The following is a 19,557-nucleotide window of genomic DNA, read 5'->3' as shown; positions in this document are numbered from 1 at the left end:
ATAGGTTTATATGATTTAATTTTTCTCATAGGTTTTTCAGGTACAGGTGGTGTTTGGTTACATGAGTAAATTCTTTAGTGGTGATTTCTGAGATTTCGGTACACCCATCACCAAGCAATGAACACGGCACCCAGTGTGTAGTCTTTTATCCCTCACCCCCCTCCCACCTTTCCCCTTGAGTCCCCAGAGTCCATTATCATTCTTATGCCTTTGTGTCCTCATAGCTTAACTCCCACTTATAAGTGAGAACACACGATGTTTGGTTTTCCATATCTGAGTGACTTCACTTAGAATAATGGTCTCCAACACCATCCAGGTTGTTGCCAATGCCATTATTTCATTCCTTTTTATGGCTGAGTAGTATTCCATGGTATGTGTGTGCATATATACATATATATATCACATTTTCTTTATCCACTCATTGGTTGATGGGCATTTAGGCTGGTTCCATATTGTTGCAGTTGCAAATTGTGCTGCTATAAACATGTATGTGCAAGTGTCTTTTTCATGTAGTGACTTATTTTCCTCTGGGTAGATACCCAGTAGTGGGATTGATGGATCAAATGGTAGTTCTACTTTTAGTTATTTCAGGAATCTTCACACTGTTTTCCATAGTGGCTGCACTAGTTTACATTCCTACCAGCAGTGTAGAAGGGTTCACTGATCACCACATCCATGCCAATATCTACTGTTTTTTATTTTTTGATTATAGATATTCTTGCAGGAGTGAGGTAGTATCGCATTGTCATTTTGATTTGCATTTCCCTGATCATTAGTGATGTTGAGCATTTTTTCATATGTTTCTGGCCATTCATATATCTTCCTTTTTTTTTAAATTATACTTTAAGTTCTGGGATACATGTGCAGAAAGTGCAGGTTTGTTACATAGGTACACATGTGCCATGGTGGTTTGCTGCCCCCATCAACCCGTCATTTACATTAGGTATTTCTCTAATGCTATCCCTCCCCTTGCCCCCCACCCTCCAACAAGCCCCAGTGTGTGATGTTCCCCTCCCTGTACCCATACGTTCTCATTGGTCAACTCCCACTTATGAGTGAGAACATGTGGTGTTTAGTTTTCTGTTCCTGTGTCAGTTTGCTGAGAATGATGGTTTCCAGCTTTATCCATGTCCCTGCAAAGGGCATGAACTCATCTTTTTTTATAGCTGCATAGTATTCTACGGTGTATATGTGCCCCATTTTCTTTATCCAGTCTATCTTTAATGGGCATTTGGGTTGGTTCCAAGTCTTTGCTATTGTGAATAGTGCTGTAGTAAATATACATGTGCATGTGTTTTATAATCCTTTGGGTATATACCCAGTAATGGGATTGCTGGGTCAAATGGTATTTCTAGTTCTAGATCCTTGAGGAATCACCACACTGTCGTCCACAATGGTTGAACTAATTTACACTCCTGCCAACAGTGTATAAGCATTCCTCTTTCTCCACATCCTCTCCAGCATCTGTTGTTTCCTGACTTTTTAATGATCGCCATTCTAACTGGTATGAGATGGTATTTCATTGTGGTTTTGATTTGCATGTATCTAATGAGCAGTGATGATGAGTTTTCTTTCACATGTTTGTTGGCCATAAATATCTTCTTTTGAAAAGTGTTCATATCCTTTGTCCATTTTTTGATGGGGTTGTTTGTTTTTTTTCTTGTAAATTTGTTTAACTTCCCTGTAGACTGTGGATATTAGACCTTTGTCAGATGAATAGACTGCAAAATTTCTCTCCCATTCTGTAGATTGCCTGTTCACTCCGATGATAGTTTCTTTAGCTGTGCAAAAGCTCTTTAGTTTAATTAGATCCCATTTGTCAATTTTGGCTTTTGTTGCCATTGCTTTTGGTGTTTTAGTCATGAAGTCTTTGCCCATGACTATGTCCTGAATGGTATTGCCTAGCTTTTCTTCTAGGGTTTTTATGGTTTTAGGTCTTATGTTTAAATCTTTAATCCATCTTGAGTTAATTTTTGTATAAAGTGTAAGGAATGGGTCCAGTTTCAGTTTTCCGCATACGGCTAGCCAGTTTTCCCAGCACCATTTATTAAATAGGGAATCCTTTCCCCATTGCATTTTTTGTCAGGTTTGTCAAAGATCAGATGGTTGTAGATTTGTGGTGTTATTTCTGAGGCCTCTGTTCTGTTCCATTGGTCTATATGACATTTTTGGTACCAGTACCATGCTGTTTTGGTTGCTGTAGCCCTGTGGTATAGTTTGAAGTCAGGTAGTGTGATGCCTCCAGCTTGTTCTTTTCGCTTAGGATTGTCTTGGCTATGTGGGCTCTTTTTTGATTCTACATTAAATTTAAAGTAGTTTTTTCCAATTCTGTGAAGAAAGTCAATGGTAGCTTGATGAGAAGAGCATCGAATCTGTAAATTACTTTGGGCAGTATGGCCATTTTCACAGTATTGATTCTTCCCATCCACGAGCATGAAATGTTTTTCTATTTGTTTGTGTCCTCTCTTATTTTCTTGAGCAGTGGTTTGTAGTTTTCATTGAAGAGGTCCTTCACATCACTTGTAAGTTGTATTCCTAGGTATTTTTTTCTCTTTGCAGCAATTATGAATGGGAGTTCACTCATGATTTGTCTCTCTATTATTGTTGTATAGGAATTCTTGTGATTTTTGCATATTGATTTTGTATCCTGAGACTTTGCTGAAGTTGCTTATCAGCTTAAGGAGTTTTTGGTCTGAGATGATGGGATTTTCTAAATATACTATCATGTCATCTGCAAACAGAGATAATTTGACTTCCTCTCTTCCTATGTGAATACCATTTTTCTTTCTCTTGCCTGATTGCCCTGGCCAGAACTTCCAATAACATGTTGAATAGGAGTGGTGAGAAAGGGCATCCTTGTCTTATGCCACTTTTCAAAGGGAATCCTTCCAGTTTTTGCCCATTCAGTATGATATTGGCTGTGGGTTTGTCATAAATGGCTCTTATTATTTTGAGGCAAGTTTCATCAGTACCTAGTTTCTTGAGTGTTTTAGCATGAAGCAGTGCTGAATTTTATCAAAGGCCTTTTCTGCATCTATGGAGATAATAATATGGTTTTTGCCATTGGTTCTGTTTATGTGATGCATTACATTGATTGATGTGTGTATGTTGAACCAGCCTTGCATTCCAGGGATGAAGCCAACTTGATAATGGTGGATAAGCTTTTTGATGTGCTGCTGGATTCAGTTTGCCAGTATTTTATTGAGAATTTTCACATTGATATTCATCAGGCATGTTGGTCTGAAATTTTATTTTTGGTTGTGTCTCTGCCAGGTTTTGATATCAGGATGATTCTGTCCTCATAAAATGAGTTAGGGAGGAATCCCTCTTTTTCTGTTGTTTGGAATAGTTTCAAAAGGAATGGTACCAGCTCCTCTTTGTACTTCTGGTAAAATTCAGCTGTGAATCCATCTGGTCCGGGGCTTTTTTTGGTTGGTAGGCTATTAATTACTGCCTCAATTTCAGAACTTGTTATTGATCTATTGAGGGATTGGACTTCTTCCTGGTTTAGTCTTGGGAGGGTGTATGTGTCCAGGAATTTATCCATTTCTTCTAGATTTTCTAGTTTATTTGCATAGAAGTGTTTATGGTATTCTCTGATGATAGTTTGTATTTCTGTGAGATCAGTGGTGATCTCCCCTTTATCATTTTTTATTGCATCTATTTGATTCTCCTCTCTTTTCTTCTTTATTAGGCTGGCTAGTGGTCTATTTCATTAATCTTTTCAAAAAACCAGCTCCTGGATTCATTGATTTTTTGAAGGGTTTTGTGTGTCTCTATCTCCTTCAGTTCTGCTCTGATCTTAGTTACTTCTTTTCTGCTAGCTTTTGAATTTCTTTGCTCTAGTTCTTTTAATTGTGATGTTAGGTTGTCGATTTTAGATCTGTCCCACTTTCTCATGTAGGCATTTAGTGCTACAAGTTTCCCTCTAAACACTGCTTTAGCTGTGTCCCAGAGATTCTGGTACACTTTATCTTTGTTCTCATTGGGTTCAAAGAGCTTATTTATTTCTGCCTTCATTTCGTTATGTACCCAGTAGTCATTCAGGAGCAGGTTGTTTAGTTTTCATGTAGTTGTGCGGTTTTGAGTGAGTTTCTGGATCCTGAGTTCTAATTTGATTACACTGTGGTCTGACAGACTGTTTTGATTTCCGTTCTTTTGCATTTGTCGAGGAGCGTTTGACTTCCAATTATGTGGTCAATTTTAGAATAAATGCTATGTGGTGCTCAGAAGAATGTCTATTCTGTTGATTTGGGGTCGAGAGTCCTGTAGATGTCTGTTAGATCCACAACAGCAAATTATTTAATTTCCATGTATTTGTATAGTTTTAAAAGTTCCTTTTGGAGTTAATTTCCAGTTTTATTCCACTGTGGTCTGACAGAGTGCTTGATGTGATTTCAATTTCCTTAAATTTATTGAGACTCATTTTATGGCCTATCATATGGTCTATCTTGGAGAAAGTTCCATGCACTGTTTAATAGAATGTGTATTCTGTGGTTGTTGGATGAAATGTTCTGTATATATTTGCTAAGTCCATTTGTTCCAAAGTATAGTTAAATCCATTGTTTCTTCATTGACTTTCTGTCTTGATGACCTGTCTAGTGCTGTCGGTGGAGTATTGATGTCCCCCACTATTACTGTGTTGCTGTCTATCTCATTTCTTAGGTCTATTAGTAATTGTTTTATAAATTTGGGAGCTCCAGTGTTAGGTGCACATATGTTTAGGATTGTGGCATTTTCCTGTTGGACAAGGCCTTTTACCATTATATAATGTCCCTCCTTGTCTCTTTTAACTGCTGTTGCTTTAAAGTTTGTTTTGTCTAAGAACAGCTACCCGTGCTTGTTTTGGTGTCCATTTGCATGAAAAGCCTTTTTCCACCCCTTTGCTTTAAGTCTATGTGAGTCCTTATGTGTTAGGTGAGTCTCCTAAGGGAGCAGATAGTTGGTTGGTGAGTTCTTATCCATTCTGCAGTTCTGTATCTTTTAAGTGGAGCATTTAGACCATTTACATTCAATGTTAGTATTGAAATAAGAGGTACCATCACATTCATCCAGCTCTTTGTTGCGTGTGTACTTTGGTTTTTTGTTTTGCTTTTTAACTTGTATTTTTGTTTTATAGGTCCTGTGTGATTTATTCTTTAAAGAGGTTCTGTTTTGATGTGTTTCCAGGATTTGTTTCAAGATTTAGAGCTCCTTTTTGCAATTCTTGTAGTCGTGGCTTGGTAATAGCGAATTCTCTCAGGATTTGTTTGGCTGGAAAAGACTATCTTTCCTTCATATATGAAGGTTAGTTTTACTGAATACAAAATTCTTGGCTGATAATTGTTTTGTTTGAGGAGATTGAAGATAGGCCCCAATCCCTTCTAGCTTGTAGCGTTTCTGTTGAGAAATCTGATGTTAATCTGATAGGTTTTTCTTTATAGGTTACCTGGTGCTTCTGTCTCACAGCTCTTAAGATTCTTTCCTTCATCTTAACTTTGAATAACCTGATGACATTGTGATCAGGCAATCTTTTTACGATGAATTTCCCAGGTGTTCTTTGTGCTTCTTGTGTTTGGATGACTAGGTCTCTAGCAAGGCTGGGGATGTTTTCCTCAATTATTCCCCCAAATATGTTTTCCAAGCTTTTAGAATTCTCTTCTTCTTCAGGAACACCGATTATTCTTAGGTTTGGTCGTTTAACATAATCCCAGACTACTTAGAGGCTTTGTTCATGTTTTCTTTTTCTTTTTTCTTTGTCTTTGTTGGATTGGGTTAGTTTGAAGACTTTGTCTTGAGCTCTGAATTTCTTTCTTCCACTTGTTCAGTTCTATTGCTGAGACTTTCCAGAGCATTTCACATTTCTAAGAGTGTATCCAAAGTTTCTCGAATTTTTGCTTTGTTCTTTAAGCTCTCTATTTCCTTGAATATTTCTCCCTTCACTTCTTGTATCGTTTTTTGGATTTCCTTGCACTGGGCTTCACCTTTCTCTGGTGCCTCCCTGATTAGCTTAATAACTAACCTCCTGAATTCTTCTTCAGGCAAATCTGGGATCTCTTCTTGGTTTGGGTCCATTGCTGCTGAACTAATATGATTGTTGAGGGGTGCTGAAGAGCCATGTTTTGTCATATTACCAGGGTTGGTTTTCTGGTTCCTTCTCATTTGGGCAGGCTCTGTCAGAGGGAAGGTCTAGGGCTGAAGGCTGTTCAGATTCTTTTGACCCATGGAATGTTCCCTTGATGTAGTACTCTCCCTGTTTTCCTAAGTATGAGGCTTCCTGTGAGCTGAACTGCAGTGATCGTTGTCTCTCTTCTGGGTCTAGCCACTCAGTGAGTCTACCTGGCTCCGGGCTGGTACTGGGCATTGTCTGCATAGAGTCCTGTGATGTGAACCATCTATGGACCTCCCAGCCAGGATACCTGCACCTGTTCTGTGGACATGACAAGGGAGTGCAATGGACTCCGTGAGGGTTCTTAGCTTTGGTGGTTTAATGCTCGGTTTTTGTGCCAGTTGGCCTCCTGTGAGGAGGTGGCACTTTCCAGAGAGCATCAGCTGTAGTAGTGTGGAGAGGGACCAGCAGTGGGCGGGGCCGTAGAACTCCCAAGATTATATGCCCTTTGTCTTCTGCTACCAGGGTGGATAGGGAAGGACCATTAGGTGGGGGCAGGGCTAGACATATCTGAGCTCAGACACTCATTGGGCGGATCTTGCTGCAGCTGCTGTGAGGTATGGGAGTGAGGTTCCTAAGTCACCGCAGTTGTGTACCTAGGAGAATTATGGCTGCCTCTGCTGAGTCATGCAGGTTGTCAGGGAAGTGAAGGAAATCCAGCACTCATAGCCCTCACCCAGCTCCCACGCAAACTGAAGGCCAGTCTCACTCCCACTGTGCCCTACCCCCAACAGCCCTGAGTTTATTTCCAGGCAGAGGGTGAGGGGGGCTTGAAAACTTGCCCCAGGTTACCCGTCTTCCAGCTGCCAAAGAAAAGGCCTTGGTTCTTCCCCTGCCTGTGGAGTCTGCACACTGGATTTGCGCCCTCCCCCAGGTTCTGGCCAGGAGGCTTCTTGCCCCATTCAAATTGTTACCAAGTTCAGCTAGAGAATTCCTTCTCCCTGCAGAGTCTTACCCCTGCTTCTCTGGCCACCCTCCCAATGGATCCCTGTGGTACTAGGCAGGAATTGCCTGCCAGGGGACCCAGAAAGCTCCCAGGGCGTTTCTGCTGCTTCCTCTTCCCCAGTATTTCACTCAGCTCTCTAAATGGACTCAGCTCCAGGTAAAGTCAGAAACTTTTCCTGCAAACAGACCTTCAGGTTCTCCAGTAGGGGTGTGCATTTGGGAGAGGAGGGTCTCCCTTCCCCACTTCTGCAGTTGGGGCACTCACAGTATTTGGGGTGTCTCCTGGGTCCTGTATGAGCAGTCTGCTTCCTTCAGAGGGTCTGTGGGTCCTCTCGGGATTGCTGGTTTGTTCTTACAGTTATCTGGAGCTAAAATTCACAACACAAGCCTCCGCATACTGCTCTGTACAGAACTGCAATGTAGTCCTGCCTTACTGAGTGCTTTTTAAAAGTAATTTATGTACTACTGTCTCATTTCATTGTCAGGGGAAGCAGGCAGGGGTGCCGTGCAATGGAGGGCTCGATTATCTATCATCAAGGAGAGAAGTTTGTTGCCCTTGGCCAAGAGTCAGTGTGATACCATAGCTGCCATCTGGGTTAAATTATGATATCTGGCACCATGACAGAGATATTTCATGTAGTATAAACTTCAGGTAACCGAGGCTTAATTTTTAATCATCAAAATATTTAAACCATAGCTGACCTTTGCACAGGCAGGGGTTAGAGGCACAAACTCCCTGTGCAGTCAAAAATCTATGACTTTTGACTTCTTCACAACTTAACCACTAATAGCCTACTGTTGGCTGGAAGCCTTACCAATAATATGAACTGTCAGTTAACATAAAATGTATATGTTATGTGTATTATATAGAGTATTCTTACAATAAGGTAGAGAAAAAATGTTATTAAGAAAAGCATAAGGAAGAGAAAACATCCCACTCTTCATTAAGTGGAAGTGGATCATTGTAAAGGTCTTTAACCTCATCATCTTCATGTTGAGCAGGCTGAGGAGGAAGAGGACAAGGAGGGGTTGGTATTGCTGTCTCATGGGTGGCAGAGGTGGAAGGGGAGGCAAGAGAGTTAGGTATACTTGGTGTAACTTTATAAAAATGCATCGTTATTTTTGTTTGACTTTTTTCTTTCTCATTTCCCTAAAAATGTTTCTTGTTTTGTTGTGTTTGAAGAGACAGAGTCTCTGTTACCCAGGCTAGAGTGCAGTGGTGAAATCATAGCTTACTGCAGCGTCAACCTCCTGGGCGCAAGAGATTCTCCCAGCACAGCCTCCCAAGTAGCTGGGACTACAGGCACGCCCCTGACTAAGAAAAAATTTTTTTTATAGAGACAGGATCTTACCATGTAGCCCAGGCTGGTCTTGACCTATTAGCCTCAAGCAATCCTCCTGCCTTGGCCTCCCAAAGTGTTGTAATTACAGGCATGAGCCAGTACACCCAGCCCTAAAAATGTTTCTATATGGTACTAATCCTTCTTCTACCATCTAATTTAGTTTCAGTGCCTGTACCACACAAAAGGTCTATGTTGTAAAAGAAGTTAAAAGCAGTCTTGAATAATTGGGACCCTTTAGCCAGATTGTCTAAAATCATTTTTTTTCTGGCACTGCTTCTTCTATGTCTTTCTCATTCTCTAGCACTGGTTTGGAAGCACTCATCTCCATCATGTCATCTTCAGTTAATTCCTCTGGTGTGATACCTATTAGCTCTTCAGTTTCTCCAATACACACATCTTGAAACCCTTCACTAATCACTTTTTTGCCATTTCCATATCTTTTTCATTATTTCCTTGATTAGCTCTGTCATAAATCCTGTGAAGTCATACAAAACATCAGACAGTTTTTTCAGCAGGAATTTATTGTTTTGAGCTTGATGGCCTTCACAACTTTTTCTATATCAACGACAGCATCTTCTATAATGTAATCCTAGATTTTTATTATCTTCTCTCTGTCAGGGTTCTCTTCCATAGTGTTGACAATCTTTCATAGAATATCTTGTGTAATGAGCCTTAAAGATTCTTATGACCCACTGATCTAAAGGCTGAATTAGAGATGTTGTGTTTAGGGGCAAATAGACAACAATCTTTGATTTTTGAACTCATGAGATTCTGGGTGGCTGGGCCATTGTCTTATGTCAAAAGGACTTTAAAGGGTCATCCCATGCTGGCAAGGTGCTTCCTGACTTCAGAGACAAAGCATCAATGGAGCAACCCAGAAAAATGGTTCTTATTGTCCAGGCCTTGTTGCACAATCAAAAGATTGGCTGCTGGGTGTTTGTATTTTCCCTTCAAACTTCTGGAGTTAGCAACTTTATTGATAAGGGGTGTCCTGATGATAAACCCAACTACATTTGCACAAAACAGTAGAGTTAGCCCATTCCTTCCTGCCTTAAATCCTGGTGCTCGCTTCTCTTTCTTACTAATAAATGTCCTTTGTGGCATTTTTTTTTCCAGAATAGGAGACTGTTGTCTGCATTATAAACGTGTTCAGACAGTTATCCTTTTTCTTCAATAATTTTCTTAGTGGCATCTGGGAACTCTCTGCTGCCTCTTGGTGGACAGAAGCTGCTTGATATTTTAAAAAATTGTTAAACCATCCTTTGCTGACATTAAATCCTCCAGCTTTAGATACTTCATCTTCCTTTTGCTTTAAGTTGTCATATAATGACCACTTTTTCTCACATCATATTAGAGTCTACAGGTATACTTTTTGGATAGCAATCCTCCACCCACATAAAAGCAGCATTTTTAATATGATTTTAAAAGGTAACTTGCAAAAAATGCAAGGTTTTCATGGCTGCTGGTATAGCTGCAGCAACAGCTTCACACATTTCCCCTCCCTCCCAGCTCCCTTCCTTCCTTCCTTTTTTACAATTGTCCTTATTCAGGATTCATTTATCTTGAGATAGCCGGCAACCACAGCTGCAGACTTCAATTTATGCCACATTTCAAGCAATTCAACTTTATTTTTGTAATGTCATGACTTTTCTCTGCTTCTTGGGAGCACTTCCAGCATCACTAGTGGCACTTTATATGGTTCTAATGGTGTTATTCAAAGTTTATGGTATTGCACTAAACACATTGCAAAATGTGTGTGAACTGGGAGAGATCAGTTTTTTACTGTCATACACAATTTACTGGAGGACAAACTGCTTACGCAGGGTGTTTTAAGCAGATGCTGACAACACTTGAGCTCACAGCAACAGCAGCCAGAGGTGGCTACAAAATCATTACTGTAGTACAGTATGTACTAAAGTTAGTTTTATGCAGTTACAATTTAATGCTCTGTCTTTATTTACATGCTCTTAACTGCAAACACCACCATGTATGGTCTCTGTTTACCCATAGATTTTAATAAATTTTAACTTTGCATAGCATATTTGTGTACGTTTTATGGTGTTAAATGTCCAAATAGACTAGTATCTACATATATTTTATACATTCATGACATGCCTTTTTCTTTTTTTTTTGATATTTCTAGGCTACTCAGTTTTTCTGGGAGTTTTTCAAATTGTTGCAAATGTTCAAAAATTTCCCAGTATATTGAAAAAAAATCCATGTATAAGGGGATGTGTGAAGTTCAAACTCATTATTGCTCAAGGGCCAACTGTACTTGCACTCATTTGGGTAAATGTAACTGACTCATATAAATTAATTCTGATAACATTTCTAAAATATGTCTTACAGATTACTCTGTTAGTGATGAATATGTTAAACTGTCCTTGATAACTAAAAGGTAATTGTGATAAACATTTTTTTACTTGTACTACTTTCTTTTTAAAAAACTTTTAGGTTCAGGGGTACATGTGCAGGTTTGTTATATAGGTAAACTTGTGTCATGGGGGTTTGATATACAGATTACTTTATCACCCAGGTATTAAACCTAGTAACCAATAGTTATTTTTTCTGCTCTTCTCCCTCCTCCCAACCTGGACCCTCAGGTAGACTCTAGTGTCTGTTGTTCCTCTCTTTGTGTCCATGTGTTCTCATCATTTAACTCCCACTTGTAAGTGAGAATATGAGCTATTTGGTTTTCTGTTCCTGCATCAGTTTGCTAAGGATGATGGCCTCCAGCTCCATTCATTTTCCTGCAAAGGACATGATCTTGTTCTTTTTTATGGCTGCATAGTATTCCATGATGTATATCTACCACATTTTCTTTATTCAGTCTGCCATTGATGAGCATTTAGGTTGATTTCATGTCTTTGCTATTGTGAATAATACTACAATGAACATATGCATTCATGTGTCTTTATGGTAGAATGATTTATATTCCTTTGGGTATAACCCAGTCATGAGTTGCTGGGTCAAATATGAGCTCCACTTTTAGCTCTTTGAGGAATCATCACACTGCTTTCTACAATGGTTGAACTAATTTACACTCCTACCAACAGTGTATAAACATTCCCCTTCTCTGCAACCTCACCAGTATCTGTTATTTCTTGATTTTTTAATAATAGCCATTTTTAGTGGTGTGAGATGGTACCTATTATGGTTTTGATTTGCATTTCTCTAATGATCTGTGATATTGAGCTTTTAAAAATATGCTTGTTGGGCACATGTATGTCTTCTTTGAGAAGTGTCCATTCATGTTTTTTTGCCCACTTTTTAATATAGTGGGTTTTTTTCCTTGTAAATTTGTTTAAGTTCCTAATAGATGCTGGATATTAGACCTTTGTCAGATGCATTGCTTGCAAATATTTCTCCCATTCTGTAGGTTGTCTGTTTACTCTGTTGATAGTTTGTTTTGCTGTGCAGAAGCTCTTTAGTTTAATTAGATTCCACTTGTCAATTTTTGCTTTTGTTGTAATTGCTTTTGGTGTCTTCCTCATGAAATCTTTGCCAATTCCTATGTCCGGAATAATATTGCCTAGATTTTCTTCCAGGGTTTTTATAGTTTTGGGTTTTACATTTAAGTTTTTAATTCATCTTGAGTTGGCTTTTGTATATGGCATAAGGAAGTGGTCCAGTTTCAATGTTCTGCATATGGCCTTGCTTGTTTTTTTCAGCTTTGACAAAGATCAGATGGTTGTGGGGGTGCAGCATTATTTCTGGACTCTCTATTCTGTTCCCTTGGTCTATGTTTTTATATGTGTCTTATGTTTTATATGTGTCTGTTTTTATACCAGTACCATGCTGTTTTAGTTACTGTAATCCTGTAACATAGTTTCAAGTCAAGTAGTGTGATGGCTCTTGTTTTGTTCTTTTTGTTCTTTTGCCTTGGCTATTTGAGTTCTTTTCTAGTTCCATAGAAATTTTAAAACAGTTCTTTCTAGTTCTGTGAAGAATGTCACTGGTAGTTTGATAGGAACAACACTGAATCTGTAAATTTCTTCAGGGAGCATGGCCATTTTAACAATATTGATTCTTTCTATCTGTGAGCATGAAATGTTTTTCCATTTGTTTGTGTCATCTCCGATTTTTTTTTGAGTAGTGTTTTGTAATTCTTATTGTAGAGATATTTTTCTCTCCTTGGTTAGCTGTAATCCTAGGTATTTGATTCTTTTTGTGGCAATTGTGAATGGGATTGCATTGTTGATTTGGCCCTTGGCTTGGCTGTTGTTGGTGTATAGGAATGCTAATGATTTTTGTACATTGATTTTGTATCCTGAAACTTTGCTGAAGTTATTTATCAGCTGAAGGAGCTTTTGGGCCAAGACTATGGGGTTTTCTAGATATAGAATCATGTCATCTGCAAACAGGGATAGTTTGACTTATTCTCTTTCTATTTGGATGTCATTTATTTCTTTCTTTTGCCTGATTGCTCTGGCTAAGACTTCCAATACTTTGTTGAATAGGAGTAGTGAGAGAGGGCATCCTTGTCTTATATTGGTTTTCAAGGGGAATGCTTCTAGCTTTTTCCCATTCAGAATGATGTTGACTGTGGGTTTGTCATAAATGGCTGTTATTATTTTGAGGTATATTCCATCAATACCTAGTTTGTCGAGAGTTTTTAATACGAAGGGGTGTTGAGTTTTATTGAAAGCTTTTTCTGCATCTATTGAGATAATCTTGTGGTTTTTGTCTTTAGTTCTGTTTATGCAATGAAGCACATTTATCGATTTTATTGGTGTTGAACCAACCTTGCATCCCAGGGATAAAGCCTACTTGATCATGGTGGATTAGCTTTTTCATGTGCTGCTGGATTTGCTTTGCCAGTATTTTGTTGAAGGTTTTTGCATCAATGTTCATTAAGGATATTGGCCTGAAGTTCATTTTTTTGTTGTATCTCTGCCAGATTTTGGTATCAGGATGATTCTGGCCTCATAGAATGAGATGGGGAGAAGTCCTTCCTCTTCAGGTTTTTGGAACAGTTTCAGTAGGAATGGTATCAGCTCTTCTTTGTACATCTGGTACATTTATTACTGATTTAATTTCAGAGCTTGTTATTGGTCTTTTCAGGGATTCAATTTCTTCCTGGTTCAGTCTTGGGAGGGCGTATGTACCCAGGAATATATCCATTTCTTCTTGATTTTCTAGTTTGTTTGCAAGGAGATGTTCATAGTAGTCTCTGATAGTTATTTGTATTCTGTGAGGTCAGTGGTAATATCTCCTTTATCGTTTCTAATTATGTTTATTTGGACCTTCTGATCTTTTCTTCTTTGTCTAGCTAGCAGTCTGTCTAGTTTATGAATTTTTTCAAAAAACCAACTCCTGGATTCACTGATCTATTGAATGGTTTTTGTGTCCCAATCTCCTTCACTTCAGCTCTGATTTTGGTTATTATTATTATTATTTTTTTTTGTCTTCTGCTAGCTTTGGGATTAGTTGCTTCTTGCTTCTCTAGTTCTTTTAGTTGTGATGTTAGGTTGTTAACTTGATATCTTTTTAACTTTTTGATGTAGACATTTAGTGCTATAAATTTCCCTCTTAACACTGCTTTATCAGTGTCCAAGAGATTGTGGTATTTTGTATCATTATTCTCATTGGTTTCAAAGAACTTTTTGATTTCTGCCTTAATTTCATTACTTACCCAAAAGTCATTCAGGAGCAGTTTATTTAATTTCCATGTAATTGTATGGTTACAAGTGATTTTCTTAGTTTTGATTTCTATTTTTATTGCGCTGTGGTCTGAGAGTGAGCTTGGTATAATTTTGTTTTTTTTTTAATTTGCTGAGCATTGTTTTATATCTGATTGTGTAGTTGATTTTAGAGTATGTACCATATGGCAATAAGAACATATATTCCATTGGTTTGGGGTGTATCGTTCTGTAGATGTCTATTAGGTCCATTTGGTCCAGTGTCGAGTTCAGGTATTAATATTTTGTTGATTTTCTGCCTCAATGATCTAATATTGTCAGTGGGTATTGAAGTCTTCCAGTGTTTTAATGTGGGAGTCTAACTCTCTTTGAAGGTCTCTAAGAACTTGTTTTATGAATCTCGGTGCTCCTGTGTTGGGCGCATATATATTTAGGATAGTTAGCTCTTCTTGTTGAATTGAACCCTTATCTTTATGTAGTTAATGTCCTTCCTTGTCTTTTTTGATCTTTGTTGGTTTAAAGTCTGTTTTGTCTGAAATTAGGATTCCAACTGTATTAGTCCATTCTCATGCTGCTGATAAAGACATACCCAAGACTGGGCAATTTACAAAAGAAAGAGGTTTAGTTGGGCTTATAGTTCCATGTGGCTGGCATAGCCACAATCATGGCAGAAGGCAAGGAGGAGCAAGTCATGTTACATGGATGACAGCAGGCAAAGAGAGAGAGCTTATGCAGAGAAATTTCCTTTTTTTAAAAACCATCAGATCTTGTTAGACTCATTTACTAACATGAGAACAGCATAGGAAAGACCTGTCCCCATAGTTCAATCACCTCCCACCAGGTTCTTCCCATGACATGTGGGAATTGTGGGAGTTACAATTCAAGATGAGATTTGGGTGGGGACACAGCCAAACCATGTCACCAACCTTACTTTTTTCTGTTCCCCATTTGCTTTGTAGATTTTTCTCCATCTCTTTTTTGAGTTTATGGGTGTCATTCCATGTGAGATGGGTCTCTGGAAGATGGCATACCATTGGGTCTTGCCTTTCTTTATCCGGCTTGCCACTGTTTGCCTTTTATTATTATTATTATTATGCTTTAAGTTCCAGGGTACATGTGTACAACATGCAGATTTGTTACATAGGTATACATGTGCCATGTTGGTTTGCTGCACTCATCAACTCGTCATTTACATTAGGTATTTCTCCTAATGCTATCCCTCCCCCAGCCCCTCACCCCCGCGACAGGCCTCTCTGTTTGTGATGTTCCCTGCCCTGTGTCCATGTGTTCTCATTTTTCAGCTCCCACCTATGAGTGAGAACATGCAGTGTTTGGTTTTCTGTCCCTGTGATAGTTTGCTTAGAATGATGGTTCCCAGCTTCATCCATGTCCACGCAAAAGACATGAACTCATCCTTTTTTATGACTGCATAGTATTCCATGGTGTATATGTGCCACATTTTCTTAATCCAGTCTATCATTGATGGACATTTGGGTTGGTTCCAAGTCTTTGCTATTGTGAATAGTGCTACAATAAACATACATGTGCATGTGTCTTTATAGTAGCATGTTTTATAATCCTTTGGGTATATACCCAGTAATGGGATGGCTGGGTCAAATGGTATTTCTAGTTCTAGATTCTTGAGGAATCACCACACTGTCTTCCACAATGGTTGAACTAGTTTACACTCGCACCAACAGTGTAAAAGTGTTCCTATTTCTCCACATCCTTTCTTTACTCGGAGCATTTTGCCCATTTACATTCAAGGGTAGTATTGATATGTGTGGACTTAATCCTGTCATCGTGTTGTTAGTTAGTTATTATGCTGACTTGTTTGTGTGGTTGCTTTATCGTGTCACTGATCTGTGTACTTAAGTGTGTTTTTTAGTGGCTGATAACCATCTTTCCTTTCCACATTTAGTGCTTCTTTCAGGAGCTCTTGTAAGGCAGCTCTTACGAGACCCTCGGCATTTGCTTGTCTGAAAAGGATCTTATTTCTCCTGTGTTTCCAAAGCTTAATTTGGCCAGATATGAAATCCTTGGTTGGAATTTATTTTCTTTAAGAATCTTGAATATAGGCCCTCACTCTCTTCTGGCTTATAGAGTTTCTGCTGAGAAATCCACTGTTAGTCTTATGGGTGTCCCTTTCTAGGGAATCTGACTTTTCTAGCTGCCTTTAATTTTTTTTTTTTTTTTTTTTTTTTGAGATGGAGTCTTGCTCTGCTGCCCAAGCTGGAGTGCAGTGGCATGATCTTGGCTGACTGCAACCTCTGCCTCCTGGGTTCAAGCGATTCTCTGACCTCAGCCTCCCAATTAGCTGGGATTGCAGGCGCGTGCCACCACTCCTGGCAAATTTTTTGTATTTTTAGTAGAGAAGGGGTTTCACCATGTTAACCAGGATGGTCTTGATCTCCTGACCTCGTGATCCGCCCGTGGCCTCCCAAAGTGCTGGGATTACAGGTGTGAGCCACCATGCCCAGGCTTTAATGTTTTTTTCTTTCATTTTGATCTCAGAAAATCTGATAATTGTATGTCTTGGGGATGATCTTCTTGTAAAGTATTTTGCAGGGGTTTGTTGCATTTCCTGAATTGGAATGTTGTCCTCTCTAGCTAGGTTGGAGAAGTTTTCATGGATGATATCTTGAAATAAATTTTCCAAGTTGCTTCCATTCACCCCATCTCTTTCAGGAACACCAGTGAGTCATAGATTTGGTCTCCTAACATAATCCCATATTTCTTGGAGGTTTTGTTCATTCCTTTTCTTTTCTTTCTTTTATTCTCTTCTGTCTTATTTCAGAAAACCAGTCTTCGAGCTCTGAGATTCTTTCCTCTGTTTGGTTTATTCTGCTGTTAATACTTGCAGTTGCATTATGAAATTCTTGTAGCATGTTTTTCAGCTCTGTCAGGTCAGTTACATTCTTTTCTACACTGGCTATTTTGTCTGTAAGATTCTGTATCATTTTATTGTGATTCTTAGCTTCCTTAGATTGGGTTTCAGTGTTCTCCTGAATCTCAATGATCTTCATTTCTATACATATTCTGAATTATATTCCTGTCATTTCAGCCATCTCAACCCAGTTAAGAACCCTTGCTGAAGAACGAGTGCAATCATTTGGAGAAAAGAAGACACTCTGGCTTTTTGAGTTGTCAGAGTTTTTGTGCTGGTTCTTTCTCATCTTTGTGAGCAGATGTTCCTTCAATCTCTGAAGTTGCTTTCCTTTGGATGGATTTTATTTCTGTTATCCCATTGATGACCTTGAGGGTTTGATTGTGGTATAAGATGGGTTCAGTTGACTGGCTTCATTTCTGGAAAACCTTAAAGAGCCAAGGCTCAGCTCAGAACTCCTAGACTGCATATTGTAATTCTGAGGGACTGATATTGACCTCAGCTTTGTTATCTGGCTCCTCCAGGTTAGGAACCTGCTGTACCGGAGGGGCTGAGGTGCTTGCTCCTGGACCACTGGTTCCAAGACTCCAATGGCTGGTGCCAGCCAAAACACTTCATAGGGCAGTAGCAGTAGGATTTGTCCTTGTTTACAGGTGCCAGCAGCAGTGGCAGCAGCAGTGTGGTGAGGTGCACACTTATCGGCTGCAGCAGGGTGCTAGTGGGTGCTGGGGTTCTGGCCTCCATGCAGGTGTTCCCAGCAGTGGTGGTGGTAGCATGGCTTGGGTTTTGGCATCCCCGCCTGCTACTGTGTGCACATGTGCACTGGTGATGGTGTTAGCACAGGGGTGGGGTGCTGGTGGGCACAGGACTGTTTGCACACTCTGTGTGCATTCACTCAGGAGGTCGTTGGGTCCACTGTTCTCCATGCCTTGTTTTGCACTAGTGGCAGTGTGGCCACTATGGTGGAGTGCTGGTGGGGGCGGTGCTGGCAGGCTCCATGTCTGATAAGGTTCCAATGACAATGGTGGTGTGGTGGGGGGTAGAAGAGCAGAGTGCACTTATGCTGGCAGCAGTGGCTTGTCGTGGTGCACATGCACAAACGTGCTGGCAGGAAGGGAAGGCAAGATCTGCTGGCACACACACATGCCTTCAAAGCAATGCAGGATGTGGCTCTGGGCAAGTGCTTGCAGGCAAAGTGGCACAGGGGAGGCTGCAATGGAGGAGGGAGCAGGTGGGCTGGTGAGTGTTTGCAGGGGCATTCTGCTGGAGCTCCGGTCAGGTGCAGTCCACCAGCACAGAAGCTATGATGCAGGCCCCCAGGGGCTGTACTGCAAGCAGGTGTGGCCAGGCTGGAGGCCCTGAGAAAGGCCAGCAGACTATGGGGTTCTCAGATTGGACTGCCCGGTCTCATGGGCAAGACTACCTCGCAGGGTTCAGGTCAGACAGTTCCCCTAGGGCTAAAGTCTCCCATAGGAGCAAGTCGAGCCTAGGGGGATGGGCATCCCTGGTTGTGCTGCACTACAGATGCTCTCACACTAAGCCCTCTGGACTCTGCACCAGTTGGAGTTCTGCCCCTACCACTTCTCTAAGAAGCTCTCCATGCCAACACAAGTGTCCATGGTGGTCAAGAGGTCTCCTGCATGGGCATTCAGAGGCTCAGGGTGAGAGTGGGTTTCTCCTTGCCTGTTCAACTCACTCCTCCCACAGGAGTCAGTGGGGGCCAGGAACAAGTCCTGGGGTGTGGTAGCCCCATGCAGGGTTTCCAGCTTCCTCCCCTTTCAGCCCAGCATCTGTGTCTTCCCTCTCTGTTCACTCTCAGTGCCTTCCCTCTAAAGATCTGCTAGTAGCCTGCCAGTCATCCCTATGTCCCCTTCCCTCGTTTGGAGATGTTCCTCCTGGCTGCATCTCATAGGCAACCCTGGAGAAGTCTTCCACTTGCACTACTTTTTAATACATGGATGGTGTATCAAAGATTGTCAAGGTATACTGGTCTTATTTGGATTGCTTTGTTTTCTGAACTCCACTAAACATTTTATAATTTTCTCCTTGTATTCCTAAAGGAAGGCAAGGTCTGGGAGATATTTTTCTTGTGGCACGAATTTAATACATGGGCTCCTGTGACTAGTGCATACCAATTTCTCAGGGCCTAGAGTTAGTACGAACTTCTGAGGGATTCTATTAGAGATCTGGGGATGACATGGAAGTGACTGTACTTTCACAGTAACCTGAAGTACCTGGGCAATTGCCATAAACAACTGATGAACTGTTAATTATTTTCATGTTTCAGGTCATGTTAAACAATTGTTTTTCTAGAGCCTTTTTTTTTTGTCTATTTTCTGCTTTTAAAAAATCTATTTTTATGCAGCCTGTTGTTTTTTAAAGTTGAGTGACCAGGATCTACACTGGAAAAGTTGTAGCCAAATATAGTAGGCTAATTTTCCCAATAAAATATATCTCTTCACAGTGGCAGAGAGAAATGGCACAGACCTTGGTGACAGACCTAGGTGTGAATTTTGGCTTTATTCCGTACTAAATGTAACACTTAACTGTTTACTGGCTTTGTCCCATATTAACTGTAAGATCTCAATGGAA

General features: G+C 40.1%; 1 protein-coding gene across 14 annotated transcripts in view, besides 2 other annotated features; it reads left to right on the top strand.

Annotated features, from left to right (window-relative positions):
• Nucleotides 1–19,557, top strand: part of SLC35F4 (solute carrier family 35 member F4) — a 419,262-nt gene that overhangs the window by 190,234 nt on the left and 209,471 nt on the right. The gene's annotated exons all lie outside the window — the stretch shown is intronic.
• Nucleotides 6,351–7,550: an enhancer, noted in NCBI's record as "MED14-independent group 3 enhancer chr14:58252116-58253315 (GRCh37/hg19 assembly coordinates)". NCBI's record gives its function as "activates an origin of replication core promoter dependent on BRD2, BRD4, P300/CBP and CDK7 cofactors, and independent of MED14, by STARR-seq in HCT116 cells {active_cell/tissue: HCT116}" and the evidence as "EXISTENCE:reporter gene assay evidence [ECO:0000049][PMID:35650434]".
• Nucleotides 6,460–6,959: an enhancer, noted in NCBI's record as "H3K27ac hESC enhancer chr14:58252707-58253206 (GRCh37/hg19 assembly coordinates)". NCBI's record gives its function as "activates a minimal SCP1, AML or CMV promoter by ChIP-STARR-seq in primed H9 embryonic stem cells {active_cell/tissue: H9 hESC(primed)}" and the evidence as "EXISTENCE:reporter gene assay evidence [ECO:0000049][PMID:30033119]".

The sequence above is a fragment of the Homo sapiens genome, chromosome 14, assembly GCF_000001405.40.
Source record: "Homo sapiens chromosome 14, GRCh38.p14 Primary Assembly".
Lineage (NCBI taxonomy): Eukaryota > Metazoa > Chordata > Mammalia > Primates > Hominidae > Homo > Homo sapiens.
The sequence above is the reverse complement of the archived record's forward strand: the minus strand, read 5'-3'. Positions and strand labels throughout refer to the sequence as shown.